General features: G+C 37.2%; 1 pseudogene; it reads left to right on the top strand.

Moving 5' to 3' along the window:
• On the top strand, positions 8,853-10,033 carry EIF4EBP2P3 (eukaryotic translation initiation factor 4E binding protein 2 pseudogene 3; annotated as a pseudogene).

The following is a 27,704-nucleotide window of genomic DNA, read 5'->3' as shown; positions in this document are numbered from 1 at the left end:
ATTGCTAAATCTCAGACAGATAAACAGATTCAAATAAAATTTGGTGATAAAAGAAAACAGCAGCTACTGTATTTTTCTTCTACGTCAGTGTTATGGTTTTACATATTGCTAAATCTCAGGCAGATAAACAGATTCAAATAAAATTTGGTGATAAAAGAAAACAGCAACCACTGTATGTTGAGAATTTCGATGGCAACTTTCAGCCGAATGTGAATTAAAATGGCTAGGTTATAAATCCCCTGAAAATAAGGTTTATAATGGAAATGCTGACAGGCATTTAACGATAGCAGCAGTAGCTGGCACCACTGTAATAAAAGGACTTAAATGAAAAAAAAAAATGTATGCCTCACAAAGACATGCGGATTTCAGGGTAAAGCTATATGCAGACTCAATGTAAGGATGGATGATAATATGCCTGAGCAATTATGATGCATGGGTGTTAGTAACAAAGAATCTTGAAATTCAGCTTCCAATCAAATTGTGAAAGAGTTTAAAGAAAAACCTGAATGCAGCATTCTTCAGTTCTATTACTCTGGCACCATCATCCTCTTATGAATATATTTTATTCATGCTTAGTATGAGAGCAGAGAGGAGCTTAGTCAGAAACTGATTCCTAGAAAACAACATGGGTATTTCAACAGTCAATCCTTTGGAACTCTCATTTTAATGAATCATTAAAGCATTGGTAAGGCATTAGGTACAAGAAAACAAACATTTTTTCAGGGACACCACTAGATTTTTATAGTTCTGTTTCTTTCAGGTTCCTCCCTAGAGAGGATGATAACCCTGAGTAGCTTCTCTACACTATCTGCTTATTGAAAGTGCCCCCTCTGATGATATCCAAGTAATAAATTAGTGACTTAGTTTTCTTTCTTCTTAGCAGTAAGCCACATACTAACTCATTATTTTTAACTTCTATTTTTAAATTTAAACTCTTTTGTTTCAGAATAAATAAATGGAAGTTTAAAGTGCCATATTTTTATGATTGTGGCTATAAAATAAAATAAAAGGGGATTTACGTCTGCTAAAAAGCAGACTTTAAAAAAATCTCTTCATAGGTGCCTATAGATCCAAACTGGTCATTAGTAAATTCTTGTTTCCAGACACCTGTGCCCCAGGTTAGTCCCAAAGAGCTCCACTCTAATTCTTCTGACGAATAACAAGCTCTTTGGTTATTTTGGGAAAGAATCTTCTCCAGGAATAGAATAAAGGTATACTTGTGTGAGTGTCTGTGTACTCTTTCTTCATGCCTATAAATCCCACCCAAACTGTCAAGGTTGACAATCCAAAACGATAATCAAAACCACTTTTTACATTCCTTCTTGTAACTGCCGCAGGCAAGTTTTAAAAGATATGCTAACAAATCCCAAAGAATAGCTGGTATTAAATATTTGATATAACCTGAAATGAATACTGTAGATATAAAATTTAAGTCACATAGCGCTTTAATTTCTTATCTATAGGTAACTGTAGTAGTGTGTGTGCATATATATATGTATGGTTTAATTTTTAATTATTTAATGGAATTAAATAATTTAAATCAATTAATTTTAAAATATGCACACACACTATATATATTATATATATGTATGCTTTTTTTAATTCACAGAAGGTTTATGAAAAAATTTCTAAAAACATTGCTGTTTTATAAACTAGATTATTTCAGTACTCTAGTACCAAAAGCAGCACATCAAAATATTTATCATTAGACATTTTAATATACATTACTGTTTTGTATAAGCCTATTGTATGAACTATACCAAATATAATAAAAAGTGAACAAACTATACATGCACAGTGAATTTTTTATTAAGTAAACACATTAGTTTAACACTACACAGATTAAGGCAAAGAATATTAGCAGTACCCTAGAAATATTCCTCTTTTCCCATCCCAGTTATCACCAACTGCAAAAGTGGCCAGTTATCTTACTTTGTGTTTCTCAAGAATGAACTGTAAGATGAGGGTTTGGGCACAGGTGGTTTATTTGAGAGGAGACCCCAGGGTTCACAAGGGAGGGTGGGAGAAGTGATACAAGAAAGAGAGAGATCAACAAAATGTGTGTCAGGGACTGGGTTAGTGCAGTGGGCAACTGGATCTCAAGGTACATGGTGTACCTTGTAGGAATATCCTACAATTTATCCATTTCTCTGACAATGGACATTTGGATTATTTTCAGGTATTGACTATTTTGAATAAAGCTAATATGAATATTCTTGTATTTTGGTATACCTGTGTATACATTTCTGCTGAGTGCTTACCTAGGAATAGAATAGCTTGTTAAGTGGCAGGTATGTGTTCAACTTTAGTTGATGCTGTCAAACATTTTTCCAAAATTATATGGTACCAAAGAAGTATACTCCCGTCAGTAGTTTATGAAAGTTTCAGTATTCTCCTTTGGCCTGAAGAGCTCTTTTTAGTATTTCCTTTAGTTGATGTCTCCTGAAGACAGTATCTCAATTATTTTTTTTTTCAGAATATGTCCTTATATTGAAATAACTTATTGTCGAAGGATATATGTGTGTGCTTGCATGTGTGTGTGTGTGTGTGTGTGTGTGTGTGTATTTCGAAGCTGGCATATATTCTCTCACAGCTCTAAAGATACCATTTTAATTTCTTCTAGTTTTCATTATTGGTATGAACAATTGGCTGTCAAGCTTATTGTTGTTCCCTTAAAGTTAATGTGTTATGTTGTTTTGTTTTGTTTTTTCCTTAGCTATTTTCAAGATCTTCTCTTGGTTTTGGTTTTCAAAACTTTTTCTATCATGGAGCTAGTTCTATCATGGTAGTTTGTATTTTCCTGATTAGTTTCTGAAAAATTGATGTACTTGTGGCTTGATGTTTCTTGTCAGTTTTGAAAAGCTTGATTAGGATAGCCTCCAATACTGTATTTTTTTCTTTTAGAGTTTGTTCTGATATGTTACTAGTGTTTTACATTATTTATTTTTATATTTATATATTTTTAACTTTTAAGTTCAGGTATGCATGTGTAGGTGTGTTCTATGTTAAATTTGTTTCATAAGAGTTTGTTGTACAGATTGTTTCATCACCCAGATATTAAGCCTAGTACCCATTCGTTATTTTTCTTGATCCTCTCCCTCCTCCCACCATCCATCCTCTGGTAGGCCCCAGTGTCTGTTGGTTCTCTATGTGTCCATGTGTTCTCATCTTTTAGCTCCCACTTATACGTAAGACATGCAGTATTTTGTTTTCTGTTCCTGTGTTAGTTTGCTAAGCATAATGGCCTACAGCTCCACCCTTGCTCCCACAAAATATATGATCTATTTTATGGCTGCATAGTATTCCATGTTGTATATGTACCACATTTTCCTTACTTCATCTGTCATTGATGGGTATTTAGGTTGATTCCATGTATTTGCTATTGTGAATGGGGCTGCAATGAACATGACATGTGCATGTGTCTTTATGATAGAATGCTTTATATTCCTTTGAGTATATACCCAGTAATGGGATTGCTGGGTGGAATGGTGGCTATGTTTTTAGGAACTAGTCTAGTAGCATTATATCACAAACCTCCTAATTACCTGATATAGATATTGTATTCATTACCACTTGGGTGCTTTTGTGCCAACCATTACAAATCCACTTAATTATACTGCCATCCAGACATCATTTTTCCATCTTGTATTCAAGAATATTATACTGATGGTATTTTTCTTCTCTACAAGACTGCTAATTTTCTGAAGAAGGAAGTCAAGTTTGTTTAGCATGGCTTGTTCTCGACATTATCTGTGATGATTCCACAGAATATTACCTTACAAATTCTTAATTAATCAACAACTAATTATTTTTGGGGACAGATCAAAATCATTGATTATTTACAAATTTATTTATATATTGATCACGTTTTGCTTACTTGGATGATTTTTGGAAGCCATCTGAATAGTCCAAATTTTTAATGAACACAGAAGTCTTAATCAATAGCCCTTTTGGGACTCCAGATGATCTCCTCTAAAGAAGATAGGCATCTTTTTATATCTATTCATCTTAAGTTTCAGATTTGAGTTAAAAATTTGCTAGTTCTGCTTTTTCAAAGTTTAGTATCATTCTTTGTAATGAAATAAATAGAAATCTTATAAGAATTGAGTATTTCTGCTTTCTCTCTGTCAGAGTTTATTTATATCACTTCTCCAGGCCATGAATCTTCCTTAGTAGACTTTTAGCTCAAATGTCCTTTTTTGTTGGCCTTAACATTTTATTTGGCTTCAAAAATTTCTTTCAGCATTTTAGTATATCATGATTCTTAAAAAATTCTGACACTTATAAAAATTATATATTTTTTTCTAATTAAAAAGTAACATATGACTGCCACTTTCAGCTTCAACATGCAAAGATCTTGGAAGTCATCACTCATGTCCTTGCAACAACAACAAAAAAGCAGAAAAAGTTGAAACTCAATGTCTTTCATTAGATCCACCAGTGAACTAATATTGCAGGGAAAGCTGTCACTCCAGATCTGGAGAGGTGAATCTAGAGTCACAGGTGAGATCTGCTTACTTGAAGCAGACATTCCTAAAGCCATAATCTGATAGGGATACTTAAATAATAATTTCAACAAAGCCTGGGTGCAGTGGCTCATGCCTGTAATCTCAGCACTTTGGGAGGCCGAGGTGGGCGGATCACTTGAGGTCAGGAGTTCAAGACCAGCCTGGCCAACATGGTGAAACCCTGTCCCTACTAAAAATACAAAAATTAGCCAGGTGTGGTGGTGTGCATCTGTAGTTGCAGCTACTTGGGAGGCTAATGCATGAGAATAGCTTGAACCCGGGAGGCAGAGGTTGCAGTGAGCCAAGATGGTGTTACTGCACTCCAGCCTGGGAGACAGACCTACAGTCTGTCTGAAATAATAATAATAATAATAATAATTTCAACAAAATGATGGATGCTGAGTATGAAAAACTGCTGGATGGGGAAACACACTTCCAAGAACCCTAGCAGTTTCTTATGGTGAAGAAGTTTCTTATGAATCTATCAGGTGGACACAGAATAATCTTTGTGTAACATGCCAGAGAATTCTCCATAACAAGAAAGGGCCCACTCTCCAGGGGCGTAAACATTACTAAAATCTTATTCCAGTTGGTAGGAGATTATTCCTCACCTCCATTTATTCCCTTTTAGCCCTGTCTCTCATATAGATGGAAAAAAGCTATACTACTGGTTGTTTGGGAAGTCACAGACAAGAGAGACAGGCCTACGAAAAGACTGTATATAATCTTATTCAATCATAGATTATATACATCTCTCCCTCCCTGACACCTTACCCTCATATTAATAAAGCTTCAGTATATTAACAGAGGATATAGCTTAAAAACTGCAGGACACAGACTGTCCCTGAAGAGGAGTACTTAAGGAAGCCAAAAATCAAGGTGGGAAACAAAAAGGGACACTAGAGGCATTTGAAGCCTCTGGCACCTACAGCTACAGAAAACATTAAACACACTCAAAGAAGGCATCTACTAAGAAAAAAAATCTGCTATTCACTTATAGACTAAAGGGCTTGCATCCAAAATATGCAAGGAACTCAGATAACTCAACAGTAAGAAATCAACCCATTTTAAAAATGGGCAACATATCTGAACACTTGACTAAAGAAGATATATAGATGGCAAATAGCATATGAAATGATGTTCAATATCCTTTGTCACTAGAGCAAACAGCTGTGAGAAGTACCACTAGATTAAAACAGCTAAATACCACTAGATTAAAACAGCTGTGAGAAATACTACCACATACTTATTAAAATAGTTAAACTTCGACAAATGGACATCACCAATTGCTGATGGGGGTGGGAAGCAACAAGAATTTTTATTCATTGATGGTGGAAATGCAAAATGTTACAGTTAGTCCATTTGGAAAGATAGGTTGGCAGATTCTTACAAAGCTAAAAATAGTTTTACAGTATCATCCAGTAGTCATACTTCTAGGTATTACCCAACTGCTTAAAAAACTTATGTCCATGAAAAAATCCACAAGCAAATATTTATAGCAGCTTCATTCATAATTGCCAGAAGCTGAAAGTAATTGAGATGTCCTACAGTAGGTGAATGGAGAAACAAACTGTAGTACATCCATACAGTGCATACTATTCCATGATAGAGACATGCCATCTAGCCACACAAAAACATGAAAGAATTTTAAATACAAATTGCAAAATGAAATAAACCAGTCTGAAAAGGTTACCTACTGTATGATTCTATCTATATGATATTGCACAAAATGCAAAATTATAGAGAGGCTAACAGGTTGTTAAGAGTTTGGGAAGAGGGAAGGGTTGAATAGGTGAATAATAGTGGGTTGTTTAGGGTTGTAAAACTATTCTGTATAATACAGTAATGGTGGACACATTACACTATATAGGTGTCAGATGCATAGAACTTTATGGCACAAATATTAAAACTTAATGTATGCAAATTTTTAAAAAATCATCTAGGAAGTCTGAGATCCCAGGATGGAACATTTACTGTGATAATAGAGTCAAACTATATTACATATGTATGAAATAATCTTGCTGTGGGAGGCAAAGGAAAGATGATGATCTAAATAACTGAAAACGATTGGATACTTATAAGACTAAAAACAAAAAGAATTGTACATAAGTTCTATATTTTCATAATATTGTTTCCCCTGGAAAAACAAATAAACAATTCCAATATTGCCATATATGTATAATGGAAAATAATACTGGGTTAGAATTGGGAGACATCTCTACAAACTTGTGTACAGTATAATATAGAAACAGAGGTGGTAACATACAGAGATATGTACAGAATTGAATATATACAAAACTAGTATACACACATGTATTTCATCGCTATGTCAGCTGAGAGAGTCTAGAAGCAATGACACTGCAGGAGCAATGAATATACCTAGCACACAGATCTTAGTTTCTAATGCCATTCTTCAAAAAAAGGAACAAAGTTTCCTTGGACAAACAGTTTATTCTAGCTCTAGGGGAGGGAATATAAAAATGAACCCAGAATATATTGTACTGTGCCAGAAGAAAGGACATATTTCACATTTGCCAGGTATTTAATTGCCATTTGATTGTGAGTTCTTACTGACTTTGTTAGATTAATTGTTTCATAACATATATTTCTTATTTTTATTTTTATTTGAGGCTTGGGGGTATATGTGAAGGTTTGTTACATAGATAAACACATGTCATGGGGGGTTGTTGTATGTATTATTACATCACCCAGGTATTAAACTCAGTATCCAACAGTTATCTTTTCTGCTCCTCTCTCTCTTCCCACCCTCGCCCCTCAAGTAGACCCCAATGTCTGTTATTTCCTTCTTTGTGTTTTTAAGTTCTTATCATTTAGCTCCCACTTGTGAGAACATTCAGTATTTGGTTTTCCTGTTTATTCCTGCATTAGTTTGCTAAAGATGATAGCATGCAGCTCCATCTGTGATCCCGCAAAAGCCATGATCTCATTCTTTTTTTATGTACAATGAGATTTGGAGTTTAATTAAAATCAGAATGGGGATACATTAAGCAGACAAACAAAAATACTTTTCTGATTATCAATTTTAGAGACTCAAAGCATTCCCTAAATACTGGAGATCCAGCATATTCCTGAGAGACATCAACCATCACAAAAGATTTTCATTCTTTGAACTATTCATATTTTTGTAGCAGAAAACACAACAAAGTTCTGCAGACATCCTTCCTCTCTTGTTTCTAAACTATATTCACAAACAGGTTCTTTTCGTAGATCAAAAGGAAAACAAACATGTTTCTTTTTTGGCCAATTGGCCTGTTACTCACACCTTGGGATCTGATTTCTTGATAAGAGGGCTCAAGGCACCAAATACAACCAGAAATTCCCAGCCACTACCAGTGGCTACTTTACTTAACTACGAGGAGATGGATGCTTTAGTCTTTCTATGGAGAGTCATTCTTCACAGATTATTATGCAGGGCACTAGTCCCAGGAAAGGTGGGTGAAGAGGAGGGTAAATGCAAAAGCTAAAGGGTCAGGGAAAACAATGAGGCTTTCATGAACAATCCATGGCAAGGCAGAATTAAACAGTTTTACAAACCACTCACTATAAACTCCAAACATGCACACTCAAAACTAGAGGGGTAAGGAAAGAGCTCCTGGAGGGCTGGGGGCGACAAAAGATGGTGACATAGAACAGCAGACTCGCCTATGAACATTTCTCACCTTTCTAACACTGGAAGATGTTTCATTAAAAAGGTGCTGTTCAAAATTGCACTGAAAAATCTCTAAAAATAGGCCTGAAGTCATAAAAATAAAAGGCCACTCCTCAGATAAGAGAACTGACAGATATTCTCGGAAACAAACACTTGAGGTATCTTTGATGTACATTTGAAAAATGGCCTGGCAGAGAAAAAGGAAGAAAAGGAAGGAGAGAGGAAGACAGTGAGGGAGGAAGAGAGGGAGAGAAGAAAAGGAAGGGAAATTCAGAGTACAATAGGAAAGACAAGAGAACAAAGGAGGAACACATTTTTTAAGCCCATACTTATCTATCCCAGCAGCCAAATAAAGCAGATCCACAAAGGAAAAAAAAAAAAAAACTGCAGTTCTTCTCTAGGAACATTCTAAAAATCAACTTCAAACTCAAAACATAAGAAACTGCAATCTGAGAACAAATATCACAATGCTCACTGTATTTAAAAGTGACTACTGAGAGTGGGTACTCAAGTGGGTCAACACTCTACAGAGATCATTCTTAGGCATTATCGGACAAAATACTGTGATCAAACCTTACCCACCAAGTGGAGATTAAATTTCCTCTATTGCTTGGTATGGTGCTGTTCTGGGAACAGACAAAATCACTTCACTGTCTTCAAGTACAACAGGACTTCAGCCAGAGCCGCACCATCCCCAGCCGCACCGTGGCCATCAGCGACGCTGCACAGTTACCTCATGACTACTGCACCACACAGGGTTGCGGGGGAGGGGGGGCACTCTTCTCACCACACGGGGAGGAACTCAAATCTTTTATGATAGAAAGTTTCTGTTGGATTATTGCAATTCTCCCATGGTTCAGACCCCACCCTGCCATCTACCAAATATCCCAGAAGTCACTAGCCCTGGCACCTTAATCGAAGACTCCAGAGTAGAAGTAAACAATTTGAACAACATAAACAATCATGAGAGGAAACACGCAGTTGGGGATGATGCTCAGTTTGAGATGGGCATCTGACTCTCCTGCAAGGATTAGAAGAAAAGCAGCAATGTAGATACTTGTGTGCACCTGATTTGGCCAATAGGATCAACAATGAAAGACAGATGATGCAATACCAGCAGTCCCCATCACAGTCTCTACCTCCCTCTCTTCTTCTGGGTGGCAAATGATGAGAAGATGATCTTCATCTGACCATTTCTTCTCCCTGTCTCCTGTTCCCCTTCCTGGTTAAACAGGATAGATTGAGGGCCCTTGGTGTATTTCTGTAGAGCTAAGCAGCCCTTAGAGGAAAACAAATAAATTGGATTTCCTAGTTGTTTTTTTAATTGAGAGCCACCCCCTCATACCCCTGCAATTTTGTCCCAAATCAAGTATCAACCTACCAACAACTGCCTGGCTGGGAAGTCTGTGGAAGGGATACAGAGGCTTTGTGTGTTTAACATCATTCATGTTCCTTACCCTCTGTCTCTCCTCCCTGTATCCCACCTATGGTTCAGTGCTGCAAGAGTCTGGGCTTCGGGTCTTTAAAACCATCAGGGAGAAATGATAAAAAAGAGAGCTGCTTTCCCTCTTATCTTGAGGTGTTTCTCCCTTGGAACAGAGCACAGTTTGTGCAACTCTGGTAGCAGTACCCTGTGACATTGTTTTGTGCTCCACTTCCCTTCTTGCTTCTGGGAGGAATGCCTTCTGTCTCTGGTATTATAGCTCATCTTCCCATTCTTTTACTTAGTGCATTTGTGCAGATATTTTTAACTCTCTATATCAGAAGAGAGCCCTTGACAACCAGCTTTGCTCCTCTTCTACCATTACTCCCTGCTTGTATCTTGTTGCCAGCAGAGTCCTCTTGTACTTCAAGATCTTGCCCATTTTTATGACTGCATAATATTCCATGGTGTATACGTAGCACATTTTCCTTATTCAGTCTGTCATTAATAGGCATTTAGGTTGATTGCATGTCTTAGCTATTGCAAACAGTGCAGGATTGAACATTTGCATGCACGTGTCTTTATGGTAGAATGCTTTATATTTATCTGGGTATATATTCAGTAATGGGATTGCTGGGTAGAATGGTAGTTCTGCTTTTAGCTCTTTGAGGAATTGCCATACTGCTTTCCACAATGGTTGAACTAATTTACCATTGGGAATGATACACTCCCAGCAACAGTGTATAAGTATTCCCTTTCTCTGAAACCTCATCACAATCTACTATTTTTTTGACTTATTAATAATAGCCATACTGACTGGTGTGAGATGGCAGTTTTCATTTACATTTCTTTGATGACACATAATTTTGAGCTTTTATTCATATGCTTGTTGGTGGCTTGTATATCTTCTTTTGAGAAGTGTCTGTTCGAGTCCTTTAAACACTTTTTAATGGGGTGGTTTGTTTTTCTCTTGTAAATTTGTTTAAGTTCCTTATAGACGCTGGATGTTCAACCTTTGTAAGATGCATACTTTGCAAAAATTTTCTCCCATTCTGTAGGTTATCTGTTTACTCTGATAGTTTCTCTTGCTGCACAGAAGCTCTTTAGTCTTTGACTTTGTTGTGATTGCTTTTGATGTCTTTGTTATGAAATTTTTGCCTGTTCCTAGGTCCAGGATGGTAATGTCTCAGTTGTCTTCTAGGGCTTTTATAGTTGGGTTTTACATTTAAGTCTTTATTCCATCTTGAGTTGCTTTTTATATATGGTATAAGGAAGAGGTCCAGCTTCGATCTTCTGCATATGGCTAGCCAGTCATCTCAGTGCCATCTGTTGAATAGGGAGTCTTTTCCCATTGCTTGTTTTTGTCAGCTTTGCTGAAGATCTGATGGTCGTACATGTGCAGCCTTATTTCTTGTCTCTTCTTTCTGTTCTATTGGTCTATGTGCCTATTTTTGTACCAGTACCATGCTGTTTTGGTTACTGTAGCCTCATAGTATAGTTTGAAATCAGGTACTGTAATTTCTCCAGCTTTGTTCATTTTTCTTATAATTGCCTTGACTATTGAGGCTCCTTTTTGGTTCCATATGACTTTTAAAATAATTTTTTCTAGTTCTGTGAAATGTCATTTGTAGTTTGATAGGAATAGCACTGAATCTGTAGATTGTTTGGGTCACAATTGCCATGATATTGATTCTTCCAATCCATGAACATGGGATGTTTTTCCATTCATTTGTGTCTTCTCTGATTCCTTGAGCAGTGTTTTGTAATTCTCAGTGTAGAGATCTTTCACCTCCTTGGTTAGCTGTTTTCCTAGGAATTTTATTTTATTTTATTGTGTGTGTGTGGCAATTGTGAATGATATTGCCTTTCTCATTTGGATATTAGTTTGGTTGTTGTCGGTGCATAGCAATGCTAGTAATTTTTGTACATTGATTTGGTATCCTGCAACTTTGCTGAAGTCATCAGCTGAAGGAGCTTTTGGACTGTGACTATGGTGTTTTCTAGAACAGAATCCTGTCATCAGCAAACAGAGATAGTTTGACTTTCTCTTTTCCTATTTGGATGCCTTCATTTCTTTCTCTTGCCTGATTGCTCTGGCTAGGACTACCAATACTGTATTGAATAGAAGTGGTGAGAGAGGGCATCTTTGTCTTGTGCTGGTTTTCAAGGAGAATGCTTCCAGCTTTTTCCCAATGTTGGCTGTAGGTTTCTCATAGATGGCTCTTATTATTTTGCAGTATGTTCCTTAAATACCTAGTTTATTGAGAGTATTTAATATGAAGGAATGTTGAATTTTATCAAAACCCTTTTCTCCATCTACTGAGAGAATCATGTGGGTTTTGTCTTTAGTTCTGCTTATGTGATGAATCACATTTATTGATTTGTGTATGTTGAAATATCCTTGCATCCCAGGGATGAAGCCTACTTGATCATGGTGGATTAGCTTTTTAATGTGCTGTTGGATTTGGTTTGCAAGTATTTTGTTGAGGATTTTTGCATCAATGTTCATCAAGGATATTGAACAGAAGTTTTTGTTGTTGTTGTTGTGTCTCTGCCAGGTTTTGGTATCAAGATGATGCTGGCCTCAGAAAAATGAGTTAGGGAGAAGGCCATCCTCCTCAATTTTTTGGAATAGTTTCTGTGGATATGGTACTAGCTCTTTTTTTGTACATCTGTTAATATTTGGCTATGAATCCATTAGGTCTTGGTCTTTTTTCATTGGTAGGTTATTTATTGCTGATTCAATTTTGGAGCTCATTAATGATCTGTTCAGGGAATTAATTTCTTTCTGGTTCAATCTTGGGAGGCTGTATGTGTCCAGCAATCTATCCATCTCTTCTAGGTTTTCTAGTTTGTGTGTGTGTAAGGGTTTTTGTAGTACTTTCTGATGATTGTTTTTATTTCTGTGGAGTCAGTAGTAAGATTCCCTTTGTCATTTCTACTTGTATTTATTTGGATCATCTTTCTTTTCTTCTTAATTAGTCTAACTAGTGGTCTATTTATTTTAGTAATTTTTTGAAAAAAACCAACTCCTAGATTCATTGATCTTTTGAATTTTTTTTTTTTATATTTCAATTTCCTTCAATTCAGCTCTGAGATTTGTTATTTGTCATTTTCTGCTAGCTTTGGGGTTGATTTGTTCTTGCATCTCTAATTCTTTCAGTTGTGAAGTTTGTCTGTTAATTTGAGATCTTTCTAACTTTTTGATGTGGGCATTTAGCGCTAAGAATTTCTGTCTTAACATTGCCTTAGCTGTGTCCCAGAGATTCCAGTATGTTGTATCTTTATTCTCATTATTTTCAAAGACGTTTTTGATTTCTGCCTTAATTTCATTATTTACCCAAAAGTCATTCAGGAGCATGTTGCTTAATTTCCATGTAATTGCATGATTTTGAGCAATTGTCATTGTGATGACTTCGATTTTTATTGTGCTGTGGTCCAACAGTGTGTTTGGTGTGATTTCAGTTCTTTTACATTTGTTGAGGATTGTTGTATGCCTAATTATGTGGTCAATTTTAGAGTATGTGCCATATGGCAATGAGAAGAATGTATAATCTGTTGTTTGGTGGGGACTGGTCGGGGGGTGGAGATGTCTCTAAAGGTCTAGCAGATTCATTCGGTCCAATGCTGAGTTTAAGTCCTAAATATCTTTGTTAATTTTCTGCCTTAATGATATATAGGAGCCAACTAAAAATGATCTCAACAGTCAAAGTTTGAACAATTAGAGCAACAAAATAATTTAACTTTAGATGACAACCCAAAACATCAAGTAAATATCTGAGTCCATTCTGATAAAAAAAAATGATTGAATAAATAAATACATGGAAGAAAATACATGAGTCTTCTGTGCAGAAGAATTTCAAATAATTTATGCAGATACTTCACTCGCAAGGAGGTGAAGCATAACTGCTTACTCCTTAAGAATTTGGGCTGTATATGGTGACTTACTTCCAAAGAGTACAGCATGTAAGGGGGAAAAAAGTAATTTTACAGTGGAGTAACCTGACTCAAACTATTTCAGTCAAGTAATCATTCACAGCAACAGTGATAAGTCTTTTTGGTGGTATGTACCTTGATACGATTTGATGAGAATGTCACTTTACCTCTGTAGTTTTTCTCCCCAAAATCCATAACCTAATTCTAATCATGAAGAAAATTATACAAATGCCAATTGAGGGCTATTCTGCAAAATACCTGACCAGTACTCCTCAAAACTATCCAGGTTACCAACAACAAGAAAAGTCTGAGAAATGGTCACAGACAAGAGGAAGCTAAGAAGATATAAAAACTAAGTGCAATGTAGGATCTTGGATGGTATCCTGGAACATAAAAAGTAAATTAGGTAAAAACTAAAGAAACTTGTATAAAGTATGAAAATTAGTTATTAATAATGTATCATCATTGATTTAGCAGTAGTAACCATACTTGTTAACAATAGAGAACACTGGGTGCTGGAACTCTACATTATCTTCACAATTTTTTCTATAAATCTAAAACTGTCCTAAGGTAAAAGTTTATTTTTATAAAATTTATTCTTAATGCAGAAAAGTTCTAAAGCACAAACTATCATTTTTTTTTTTTTTTACCCCTGCATCCTTCCCCTGCTACATCTGCTGCCTGATTTACACACCCTTTGAAATCATATCTCATTAGGTAACTCTCCATGGCACACACTGCTTTCTTTAGATGATTTCACAGCTTTTCTTCTGTATGGGGTAACCATATTATTCACCTGTAATTTTATTAAATAAGTTTTAAGAGTCTTTTTTTAATGAACTTTTGGAAATGTGCTTTCCATGTCTGTCTAGTAATGTCTTTTTTTCTGGTTATGCTATAAGGTGGTTCAGTGTGCAAGTTTTGTGAAATACACTAAAAGTTGACAATACTTTCATGTACTTAAAACTTCTGCACTGTGCTAATTATATTTATTATGTGTGAGTTATACTAAGAGGAGTAAAATGTGATACGCTCTAAGATTAAAATGATAAGATTATATAGCCACTTCTGTCACTTCTACTTAATAATGTTCTTTTGGTCAGAGTTAAGTGTCATATCTTTTTAGCAAGAGTTAAGAACAGTTGGTTCCATCTTGCTGGTAGTGTATATGTAATAAATTAAATATCTCTGCAAGTCAAACAGCTTCCAGGCATTCTACTTTTTACATAAGGAGATCTTTAGCCCGTATTATGATTGGCAGGATCTCCTAGTAATATTATATTTTGTTTACTTCAGTTGTAAAATCTACCACAGAAAAACTCCATCAATGTCTTTGACTAGCATAAGGAGAAGCAGTTTTACCACTGCATAATATTCTTGATTGCAAAGTATATACAGTTAAGGTGGTGTAATTTTCCTGATCTTATACTTAGTATGAGGCCTGATGACTTATATTAAAAACAAAGAAAGGAAAGGAAAAGGCAGAGTAAGTCATTCCATGAAGTGCATAGAATAGAGTAGGACAAATAATGGCAGGTGAGATTGAAATGCTGAAGAAATTTGAGGAAATGTGTCAAGATTCAATATCAAAAAGCATGGCAAGTTTAGTTGTGACTGAAAATAGTGAACTGAGTGATTTCTGAGAAGAGATAGCAAGATTCTTATCAAGTGTCTGAAACATTATAATGTAAAATCCAAGTCTGAAGTTATGCATTGGCTACAAATACATGTGTCAAAGTCCTCAAAATGACAAAGCTACAGTTTAGGGTCTTTATTAGTCAGGATTCTCTAGAGGGACAGAGCTAATAGGAGATATATATATATGAGTTTATTAAGTATTAACTGACATGATCACAAGGTCCGACAATAGGCTGTCTGCAACCTGAGGAGCAAGGAAAGCCAGTCTGAGTCCCAAAACTGAAGAACTTGGAATCTAATGTTTGAGTGCAGGAAGCATCCAGCACAGGAGAAAGATGTAGGCTGGGAGGCTAGGCCAGTCTAGTCTTTTCACGTTTTTCTGCCTGCTTTATATTCTAGCCATGCTGGCAGCTAATTAGATGGTGCCCACCCAGATTACGGGTGGGTCTGCCTTTCCCAGCCCACTGACTCAAATGTTAATCTCCTTCAGCAACACCCTCACAGACACACCCAGGATCAATATTTTGCATCCTTCAATCCAATCAAATTGACACTCAGTATTAACCATCACAAGTCTATCACTTGTCAACTTGAACCCATACACATCTCATAAGATCATACATAATCTTCAAATAAAGACAATAATAAGGTCATAATTATGCCTAACATAATACAGTTATCCTTCATACAACTGGAAATGCACCAGTCCCCAACCCAAATACTATTATATAAAGTTAACAACACTTAAATGCTGACATGAAGCCAATAAATCTATGTCACATGATAAAGGAAAAAGAAAATAGAATGAAGATATTTTCTTAGTACAAGTATATACATGCACAGACATATTTTTAACAAAAGAAGGAGGAAATATGGCAATTACAGTCCTCCTTTCTTCAACTGGTCACATGGTCATAGCTGGTATTGATGACTACCTTCTTCTATTACCCATTCTGTATTCCCTTTGCCTTCAACAAGCACCTCAGCAGGTCGTGCTTTTTTTCCTAGTGGAGTGACACAAACCTTCCTTCCTGAAAGGTCTGGGCCATTTGTAGTCTTGCTTGGATTGGGCTGTGGTAGTTTCTCATTGATCTTAATCACAGGGCATGGTAATACTAAGAGACACCCTAATGGGTCTCCTGTATTTCATGCATACTCTTACTTACCTCTGTTGTGGGGTAGTAGACTGATTTCAACTTGATAGTCTGGATCAATCACCCCAGCCAACACTGTAACTCCCTTCTTAGCCTGTTGACTTAAAGGTAGGAGGATTCCACTTTGGGAGGCTGAGGTGGGCAGATCACGAGGTCAAGAGATCGAGACCATCCTGGCTAACACAGTGAAACCCCATCTCTACTAAAAATACAAAAATTTAGCCAGGCGTGGTGGCGGGCACCTGTAGTCCCAGCTACTTGGGAGGCTGAGGCAGGAGAATGGCATGAACCCAGGAGGCAGAGCTTGCAGTGAGTTGAGATTGCACCACTGCACTCCAGCCTGGGCGACAGAGTGAGATTACATCTCAAAGCAAACAAACGAACAAACAACAACAATAACAACAAACAAATAAAGGTAGGAGGATCCCAAAGTGTCCAGGTGGCAATCTTAACTTCTAGTTTAATGGAATAATTGTTGTGTCTCCTGGTGGCAGCATTCCTCCCTCTGGAACTGAGACCTCTATGCCAGAAGAACGTAATGTCATGAGAACAGGAAGCAAAAATTTTGCTAGCGGATCACTAGGGGTGATGGTGAGTGGTGCCGCTGCCACTTCCACACTTTGATTCCTGGACCCCTGAATCATGGCTATGGAAGAAACAGTACCATATATTGACACTGATTCAGAGCATACACAGCATTCTGGAAACTTTGCCCCAGGCCTGCAAAGTATTGTCACCTAGTCGGCATTGTAATTGTGACTTCAAAAGGCCATTCCACCATTCTATTAATCCAGCTGCTTCTGGATGGGGAACATGGTAAAACCAGTGATCTATGAGCATGAGCCCACTGTAACACTTATTTAGCCGTAAAGTTAGTGCCTTGGTCAGAGGCAATGCTGTGTGGAATACCATGATGGTGGATAAGGCATTCCGTGAGTCCCCGGATGGTAGGGTTGGAAGAAGCATTGTGTGCAGGACAGGCAAACCCGTATCTGCCCTTTACATCATGGAAGAAGTCCAATATAATCAACCTATCACAAGGTAGCTGGCTGAGCACCCTGAGGAATGGTGCCATATAGAAGGCTCAGTGTTGGTCTCTGCTTCTGGCAAATTGGGTACTCAGTAGTGGCCTTAGCCAGGTGAGCCTTAGTGAGTGGAAGTCCATGTTGCTGAGACCATGCATGACCTCCATCCCTGCCACCATGGCCACTTTATTCATGGGCCAATTGGGCAATGACAGGGGTAGCTGGGGAAAGAGGCTGAGTGGTGTCCACAGAATGGGTCATTCTATCCACTTGATTATTAAAATCCTCCTCTGCTGAGGTCACACATTGGTGAGTACTCACATGGGATAAAAATATCTTCACAGTTTTTGAGCACTCAGAGAAGTCCATCCACATACCTCTTCCCCAGATTTCTTTGTCACCAATTTTCCAATCATGCTTCTTACACGTTCCTGACCATCCAGCCAAACCACTGGCTACAGCCCATGAATCAGTATATAATTGCACATCTGGCCATTTCTCCTTCCATGAAAAGTGCACAGCCAGGTGCCCTGTTCAAAGTTTTGCCCACTGGGAAGATTTCCCTTCACCACTGTCCTTCAGGGATGTCCTAGAAAGGGGCTGTAGTGCTACAGCTGTCCACTTTTGGGTGATGCCTGCATGTCATGCAGAACCATCTGCGAACGAGGCCTTAGTCTTTTCTTCCTCTGTCAGCTGATCATAGGGAACTCCCCAGGAGGCTATCAGTGCAGGCTGGGAAAGAGAAGGCAGGGTGGCAGGAGTGGAGATCATGGGCATTTGAGCCACTTCCTCATGTAACTTACTTCTGCTTTCAGGATCTGCTCAAGCCCAATCACATATATACCACTTCCATTTGATGATGGAATGATGCTGTGCACAATCCACTTTATGGCTAGATAAGTTAGCAAACACCCAGTTCATGATAGGCAGTTCAGATCTCATGGTGGCTTGATGACCCACAGTCAAACGTTCAGTTTCCACCAAAGCCCAGTAATAGGCCAACAGCTATCTCTCAAAAGGAGAGTAGTTATCTGCAGAAGATGGCAGGGCTTTGCTCCAAAATCCTAGAGGCCTCCACTGTGATTCACCTATGGGGGCCTGCCAGAGGCTCCAAACAGCATATCCATTAGCCAACGACACCTGAAGCACCATTGGATCTGCTGGGTCATGTGGCCCAAATGGCAGAGCAGCTGCACAGCAGCCTGGACCTGTTGCAGAGCCTTCTCCTATCCTGGACCCCACTCAAAGCTGGCAGTGTTTTGGGTCACTCAATAAACGGGCACGAGTAACACACTGAAGTGAGGAATGTGTTGCCTCCAAAATCAAAATAGCCCCACTAGGCATTGTGCCCCTCTCTTGGTTGTAGGAGGGGAAAAATACAGCAAATTATCCTTTACCTTAGAAGGAATATCTTGACATGCCCCACACCATTGGACCCCTAGACATTTTACTGAGGTAGAAGGTCCCTAAATTTTAGTAGGATTTATTTCCCATCCTCTGGCATGCAAACATCTCCCCAATAAATCCAGTGTGTTTGCTACTTCTTGCTCACTGGATCCAATAAGCATAATGTCATCAACGTAATGGAACAGTGTGGTATCTTGCAGAAGCAAAAAACAATCAAGTTCTTTCCGAATAAGATCATGACACAAAGCCAGAGAGTAGATATACTCCTGAGATAGGACAGTAAAGGCATATTGATGGCCTTGTCAGCTGAAGACAAATTGCTTCTGGTGGGCCTTATGGACAGGAATGGAGAAAAAGCCACTTGCCAAGTCAATGGCTGCATACCAGGTACCAGGAGATGTGTTAATTTGCTTAAGTAATGAAAACACATCTGGTACAGCAGTTGCAATTCGAGTCATCACTTGGTTAAGCTTACAATAATCCACTGTCATTCCCGAAGATCCATCTGTCTTCTGCACAGGCCAAATAGGAAAGTTGAGCAAGGATGTGGTGGGAATCACCACCCCTGCATCTTTCAATCGTGGCACTAATCTCTGCAATCCCTCCAGGGATGCAATATTGTTTTTGATTTACTATTTTTCTAGATAGAGGCAGCTCTAATGGTTTCCATTTGGCCTTTCTTACCATAATAGCCCTCACTCTACCAGTCAGGGAACCAATATGGGGGTTCTGCCAGCTGTTAAGTATGTCTATGTCAATTATGCATTCTGGCACTGGGGAAATGACCACAGGATGAGTCCGGGGACCCAGTGGACCCACTGAAAGCTGGACCTGAGCTAAAACTCCATTAATTGCCTGACCTCCATAAGTCCCTAGGTTAACTGGAGGACCACAATGACATTTTGGGTCGCAGGAACCAATGTCAGTTCAGAGCCAGTATCCAAAATATCTGATCACTTCCCTTTACCCAATAAAGTTACCCTGGTGAAAGGCCAGAGGTCTCCTTGGGAAAGGATGAGAGAAAGATTCACTGCATAAATTGTTGGTAGTGTAATGGGGTCTTTCCTCAAGGGTACCCAGCCACCCCTTCATTTAAGGGGATCTGGGTCTATAAGCTGGCTCAAGTCTGGAAATTGATTACAGGGCCATGATTCTTTGTTTTGATAATTCAAATTAGTCTTTCATCCACTCGACCTGGAAGTTTTCAGTTTATATAAATTAAGTAGGAATGCAGTAGGCTTACTACCAATTTCATTTCTAGAAACACTGTGATTCATTAGCCAATGCCAGAGCTCTACATGAGTCAGACTATTCTGATTGCCCCTTTGCCTCTGCTGTCCATTATGGTAGCTACGCCCACCTTGCCTTTGATGGTTGATTGCTACCACTTGGCCCTTGCCACCTCAGAATCCAATTATTCCCATTGTATTTAAATTTTGTAGTTGAGTGACTGTGGTTCCCACTGTTAGATCTGGCATACAGAGAAGAGAAATTACAGGGCTATTCAAAGATGCAGGTGCTGCAACTATTTCACTCTCACAAATCTATTTCATAAGGCATTGGTCAAGGGTATATCTTCTGGACCCTCCCAGCTAGGATGAGTAGGTCTAAAGTGACTAATCCACTCCACCATCCCATTCTCCCTAAGCCTTTTGATCCCTTCCTCTACATTAAACCAGGGGATATCAGGCATTTCCACCTCACTCACAGTGGGCCATCTTTTAATCCATATTTCCACTAACCAAGCAAATAAACTATTACAACCTTTTTTAACTCCCCAAGCTGCAACATTAAATACAGAGTCCCTACTTATTGGGCCCAAATCAATAAATTCAGCCTCATCCAACTTTATGTTCCTTCCACACCCTTAATATCCATTTCCATGCCTGTTCTCCAGATTTCCGTTTATATAAATTAGAAAACTCAAGCAGTTATTTTTGAGTGTAGGGCACCTCCTCATGGGTCACACTCTCAACCTCACATCTAGGGGCCAACGAGGACTTTAGTCTAGTTATAGCTCTAGAAGCAAATGGGGTGTTGGGGGTGGGTCCTGAGGAGAGTCAACATTATCTTGTCTGGCAACTGCCTCAGGGGAGGCCATCACTCTTGCCTCACGCAGTTCAGGGTTAATCTCCTCAAAGAAAGGTTGAAAGGCTGATAGCAGCATAGTTCATGGAGGGGATGTTGCCACTACTGGGGATGGGGAAGCTGTCTTTTCTGGCAAAAAAGGTTCATCAGAGTTTACAAACTCAGTGTCGCATGCTTCAGCAGAGTTCCCCCACACATCCCCATTCCAAGTTGCAGGGTCCCATTCTTTTCCAATCAATGCCCTCACTCTAACAGTAGACACCTGCCAAAGCTGTGCATGCACCTTGCATTGCAGGTCAGCCACTCACATGATAAGAGCTTGTGTCTGTTTGTCCACAATTTCAGCTCTTTCTCTACAGGAGATAAGACTCACTCAGGGCAATCTTAGCAGATTTAGGCTCAGTACCTGCTTCTGAAGCCAGGAGTTAGAATCCCTGAGTTCATCATTTTCTTTCATCACTTTGTTCGGTGAACTTAGGAGCAACCAACCAGCTTCGTTATGTTCCTTGGTTCTCCACATATGGTCAAAGGCATTATGTATAGAGTCACTAAACTCCTTGCCTCTTACGAGTGGTGAATGAGGAGTGTCAAGTGCATTTACATTTCATAACTCTCTAAACAGTTCATGCCAAGGACTATCAGTGTTCTCCATACCATTAGAAGTAGAGTCCTTAGCATTTTGATGTCTAATCATATTAAGAAGCCAACTCCAGAAACCCCAAAACCAAAGAAAGAACTCAATTTTTACTATTCAGTTCCTCTAGAACCACTCCTGGTACCAAAATCTGTATTAGTCAGGATTCTCTAGAGGGACAGAAGTAATAGGGACACAATACATATATATGGGAGTTTATTAAGTATTAACTCACAGGATCACAAGGTCCCACAATAGGCCGTCTGCAACCCGAGGAACAAGGAAAACCAGCCTGAGTCCCAAAACTGAAGAACTTAGAGTCTAATGTTCAGGGGCAGGAAGCATCCAGCACAGGAGAAAGATGTAGGCTGGGAGGCTAGGCCAGTCTAGTCTTTTCATGTTCTTTTGCCTGCTTTATATTCTAGCCACACTGGCAGCTGATTAGATGGTGCCTACCCAGATTAAGGGTGGGTCTGCCTTTTTCAGCCCCCTGACTCAAATGTTAATCTCCTTTGGCACACCCACAGACACACCCAGGATCAATACTTCATATCCTTCAATTCAATCAAGTTGACACTCAGTATTAACGATCACAGGGTCACATCTGCAAGCCCCAAAAGTAATACCAATAGTGAGATCAAAAAACAGACAAATAAACTACACCAACAAAACTAAACCCAAAGGAAATACTATCTTGAAACTATGGGCTCATGTAGACACATGACTGGAGTTAGATAAAATAAGTTGTTAGTACCTTAGGTTTGACTATTGGATGTCCTATTGGATGACAACTAGAAGAATAGAGGCACTGGGGCTCATTTCCAGATGGGATGTGATTGTGACCTTTCCTCCCAGTTTGTTAAAGAATTGTTTGACATTTCCAAAGCTAATGAGGAGGGCATGCACATTGAGTTGAACATTTAATATTTAGATGGGTATGTCCAGCTGGTTAATCCTTGTTATCTCTGCTGATCTGCTGATCACATAGTTGTCAGCTAATGCTTTTAGAACATAATATTGTTTTTAAGCAAAACTAACCAATGATAGCATGGCTCATTTGTAGCAGTTATTTCTGGCTTCCACCCTGGTCTCCAAATTCATTTGATAGTCACTCACTCTATCATATCCAAGACCTGATACTCTGCCCATAATATATTGTCTGTATTCTTTGAATATACTATGTTAAGTGATCTTTATCTGCCTTTTTGGGTGCTGATTCTGATATCTGGTATTCCCTCACCACCATGTCCGTTCAAAATTTCAATCTATTCTTCAAGATTCAGCATTAGTATTATTGCCTAATAGCAGCTTGTCCTGATTACACATATCTTGTTTTACTCTACCTACATGACATTTATTTGTTAATCTCCAACTATATTATAAGCTCCTCTACTAGGCAAAGATCTTTTTATCAACTGGGATGAAGATATCCTTTGGTTTGTAGTAAGCCTTTATTAGATATTTATTGATTTAAATTTAAGTACGCTTGGTGGCCTTCAAAGACATTCTTCTGTTGTTATCTTTTGTGACATTCCTTGATACATAGTAGGTAAGTAAATAAGTAAGTAAATGCTTACTGAACTTAATTGACATGTGTGAGATGGCCCAAAGAGATCATGTATGCCTCTCATTGCATAAGCATGACTGTCTCTCCATTCATCCATTCTTCCATCTAGTTTTATAGAATAATAGTATGTAGAAGTTAAGCGCATGAGTTCTGGAGACAGGTTTCTGCCTCCACTTTTTATGCATAAGTACTCTGTGATTTAGTTTTTTCATTTGCAAAATGAAGTTACTAATAGTATCTACTTTTTATTTAGTAAGTTATAAATGTTGGCCATCATTACACAAAAGTTGGCTTGAAAAGCATCCCTTCTTCAAATTTGAGCATAGAAATCAAACACTATATTCCTAATATAAACTTTATGGTACTTGGCAAGTACTTAGCACATGTATACTGGAGCAAAAGTGCTCAATTAATAGTCGTTATCCTCTTCTTTACTACTATTACTTTACAACAACTAACAAGAGATTCTGTGCAATTACATTAAAAGCTCTGTTATAGACATATTACCAAATGGAAACATAGCATCTGTTTTCCAACAAATATGTACATCCATTGTTTGCTCCCAAGCACTACATATTTGATTGGATGAAAGACAGTGGAAGTAAGGCTATTTGACTAAATGAGGACATATTCCAAATACACATTTTTCACTAAATCATTTTGATTAATTCTTATACATTGCTTTCAAAACCTACCCTCTTCTGAGCATTAATAGTGATATACTTTCGCATCCTAACTCTCTATCAAATAGATTGGATAAAGCAGTAACTTCCTATTGACAAGAAATGAGTTGGTGGATAGTGCAGTGTACTAGCAACCATAAGGAATGGGGAAAAGATGGGGAAAATGTTGGTTCTGTCTTAAAAAGAGTCTAGTTCTTAAGTTTCACCATACACAGGTAAAATAATGAAGTTAGCATAAATATGAAAATATGAAATAAGGTAATATATTAATAATATAAATTATGTTTACAGGTATATCATTAATACATCTTTAAAATATGGGCATAAATTGCTAATATCTAGTATCTATTTCCTGTGGAAAATACTCACCATTTTTCCTTTCAAATAAAATATAATTTAAATAAAAAGTAAAACAAAACTCAACACAGTAGTTATATCCTGTATAATTGAGGATAGCTTAAAAATGTGGGCAGCTTAGTTCTTGAATTAATTAAGCTAAGAAGGTCAACCTGATCATCAGAAACATTATTTGTGAGAGATGAGGATTTAAGTATCATTACTTTCTTACAGAAACAGTAGAAAATTGGAATCTAAAAAGGAAAGCCTATCAAAAGCATATCATTAGCATTTAACGGAGTTAGGTATAGAAATCAGAGTGCAAATATATATCCTGATAACACATACAATCAATAAAAATATTTAATCTATTTTTATGACTTTTCACACTCAGGTATGATAGGGAGCAGAGCTAATTATCTATATATCTGTATCATATATTTTGTATACTACCCTTGATAGCTATTTGTGAGTAGTGCCTGTGACACAGATAATTTTAATTTTTCAATAATTAGAAATAATTTCTGGATGGGCACAGTGGCTCACACCTGTAATTCCAGTACTTTCAGAGGCTGAGATGGGCGGATCACCTGAGGTCAGGAGTTCGAGACCAGCAGGGCCACCATGGCGAAATCCCATCCCTACTAAAAATGCAAAAAATTAGCTGAGCATGGTGGCAGGTACCTGTAATCCTAGCTACTCAGGGGGCTGAGGCAGGAGAATCATTTGAACCTGGGTTGCAGAGGCTGCAGTGAGCTGAGTTTGCACCATTGCACTCCAGCCTGGGCAACAAGAGTGAAACTCTGTCACACACACACACACACACACACACACACACACAAACGTGGCATGTGCCTGTACTCTCAGCTACTCTGGGAGGCTGAGATGGGAGGATCACTTGAGCCCAGGAGGTTGAGGCTGTGGTAAGTGTGATCAAGCCACTGCACTCCAGACTGGGCAACAGAGTGAGAACTCGTCTCAAATAAAAAGATTAGTTTCATGTATATAATGACTACTTATTGATACTATGGAAAAATAAGATAATGGAATAACAAATGATTGTTTTAGAATATCACTAATTCACTTAACAGAGTAATGATCTAGGTTTTCCTTTAAAAGATATAAATGTGTTTAAGCCCACTAACTTCTATTTTGGAAGTCATTACTAATATTGTTCATGAATAGTCTCTCCTGACTCATATAACATGTCATATTAAACTTCAATGGAATAAGCACAACATTGTTTTTATTTCATGAATGATTATACTTAATAAAAATACATTATTTAGTTTAAATCAATTGAATGAGAGAAGTTATGGTCTAGGAACAAGAATTATGAAATAATAAGAATAGTTCATTTTAATATTCTCTTGAATCTAAAGTTGTTCAACCCATGTGTTCTACTCTGACCTCATGATTTTTGAAGCATTGTTGAAGCACAACACATTTTATTACTAATTAGCATATTGTATTTGGATAGAAGCAATAGAATAGCAAAGTTATAAATTAACAAAGTAAAGGGATAAGTTAAAAAGTAGTAGAATAGAATAATCTGAATTTGAAAATCATATAAAAATAGGAAATCTAACAGGTGTTAAATTGCAGTTTCTAAACTTTCAATATAAAATTGAACCAGTATCCATGAGACATTTGATTACAGACAAATACAGGGGAAGCAAAATCCAAGTTTTGGAAGAATTTCCTTTTTAATACAATTTTTTGAGTAAAATAAAAATGTAATTTAGAAAATAATGTGCATATATTGTGCAGCGTTAAAAAATGTCAATTTTGAAATTACATACAATTATTAGTTCACTTGTGGGTAGTCACTGAGATCCCTTTCTGAATAGTGTTTGCAAAAGGCAAGGTTATACTTTAACAAGATATTAAAAGTATTTGTGAATTTTTAAAGGAAGGACTATGTATTACTTTACTTCCAAGTTTTTAATATTGCTCCAGACATACAGAAAATCATAAGAGGCACAAGATAAAACATTAATAATGCTAACTTTGACCATTTAGCATATGCTGAATCCATTTTTGTCCACTATAAAGTTACTGTTTTCTTAATGGAAATAACTATGTAATTTATGTGGACATAATTTGAGTATAATTTGTAGTGAGATACATTATGCCTACATTCTGTTCCTTATCAAAATTTATACCCACTGATTCTAGCGCAAGTTGATGATTTCCAACTCTACCATGTCTCTCCACTCGTTAGTTGGAGTTCCACTGTAAGGAATAACTCTTCTTATTTATCTATTTATTTACTTATTTATTTATGCATCATATGGACTCATGTATCTTTATTTTGTTCAACCAAAATTTATAATATATTAGTATCACTATTTATTTACTATCACTGTTATCATATTCAGATTATTTCATATTTGATGAAGCATGAGCCCCTTCAAGTTAGCTCCTGTGTCCTTCTGACAAGTCCCCAATGTTCTTTTAGCAGTTAATTGGTGTTGCAAGAAGATGTTGTGTACTCATCTTGTATTTTTTCCACCAAAGCATTAAGAGTCAACCATTTTTCCAAGTATCCTGGTTTATTTCACTGGAAAACAGTATTTAGAAAACAAAATCTATGCATTGACAGAGCTAGGAAATTCACGTAAGTGTGAATGTGTTTATGGCACATATACAGATATATATGTAATATAAAATATATAATGTGGGTATATATGAATATATGTGTATCATCTATCTTAAATATATATGAAATTAGTTTATATTAATACTTTCAATTAAAATATAATGCCACAGGGTACATTCTAGTCTTCCTTCTTTCTCTATTTGTAAATTGGTTCCTCAACAGAAAAGCCTGCCTTCCATTATGCTGAATATATTTACTTATTTACTAATACTCAGAACACATAGAAGGAAACTTCAGAATTGTTAATCCATACCACTGTGAAAAGCAAGTTTACTATTCACAAGGGTTTAATATTTATTTTAATTCATAGGAAAAATTTGTATACAGTAAAATTAACAATCATAAGTATAAAATTCTATGAATTTCAAAAGTAGATGTATTCATAGAACTCATATTCTTATCAAAATTTGAATATTTATGTCACATAGAATAGTGAAGTAATACAGTATGTATTATTTGGTGTTTGACTTCTTTTACTCAGTATAATGTTGCTAAAATTTGTCCATGTAGTCTGATGGTATTAGGAGTTTGTTCCATTTTATTGCTGATCAGTATTCTTTTGTGTAATGTACAACTCATTAATTCATTCTCCTTTTAATGGACATTTGGGTTGTTTACAGCATTTGGCTTTTATGAATAAAAATGCCAAAATCATTCTTTGGAAAGTCTTTTGTAGACATCTGTTTCGAGTTCTCTTGGAAAATACCTAAGAGTGAAGTTACTGGGTCATATGGTAGGTGTAAGTTTAACTTTGTAAGAAACTGCTATAATTTTCCCCTAACTGGCTGTACCATTTGTGCTTTTAGCAGCAATGTGTGAGTATTCCATTTGCTTCAAATCCTCAGTGACATTTGGTATTTTCATTTTAAAAATTTCAGTAATTTGAGTGGCTGTATAGTAGCATTTCATAATAGCTGTAATTTGTATTTCCCCAAAGTATTAGTTGTTTTTATACATTTTATTTTCATATAGT

The sequence above is a fragment of the Homo sapiens genome, chromosome 6 (genome assembly GCF_000001405.40).
Source record: "Homo sapiens chromosome 6, GRCh38.p14 Primary Assembly".
NCBI classification, from domain to species: domain Eukaryota; kingdom Metazoa; phylum Chordata; class Mammalia; order Primates; family Hominidae; genus Homo; species Homo sapiens.
The sequence above is the reverse complement of the archived record's forward strand: the minus strand, read 5'-3'. Positions and strand labels throughout refer to the sequence as shown.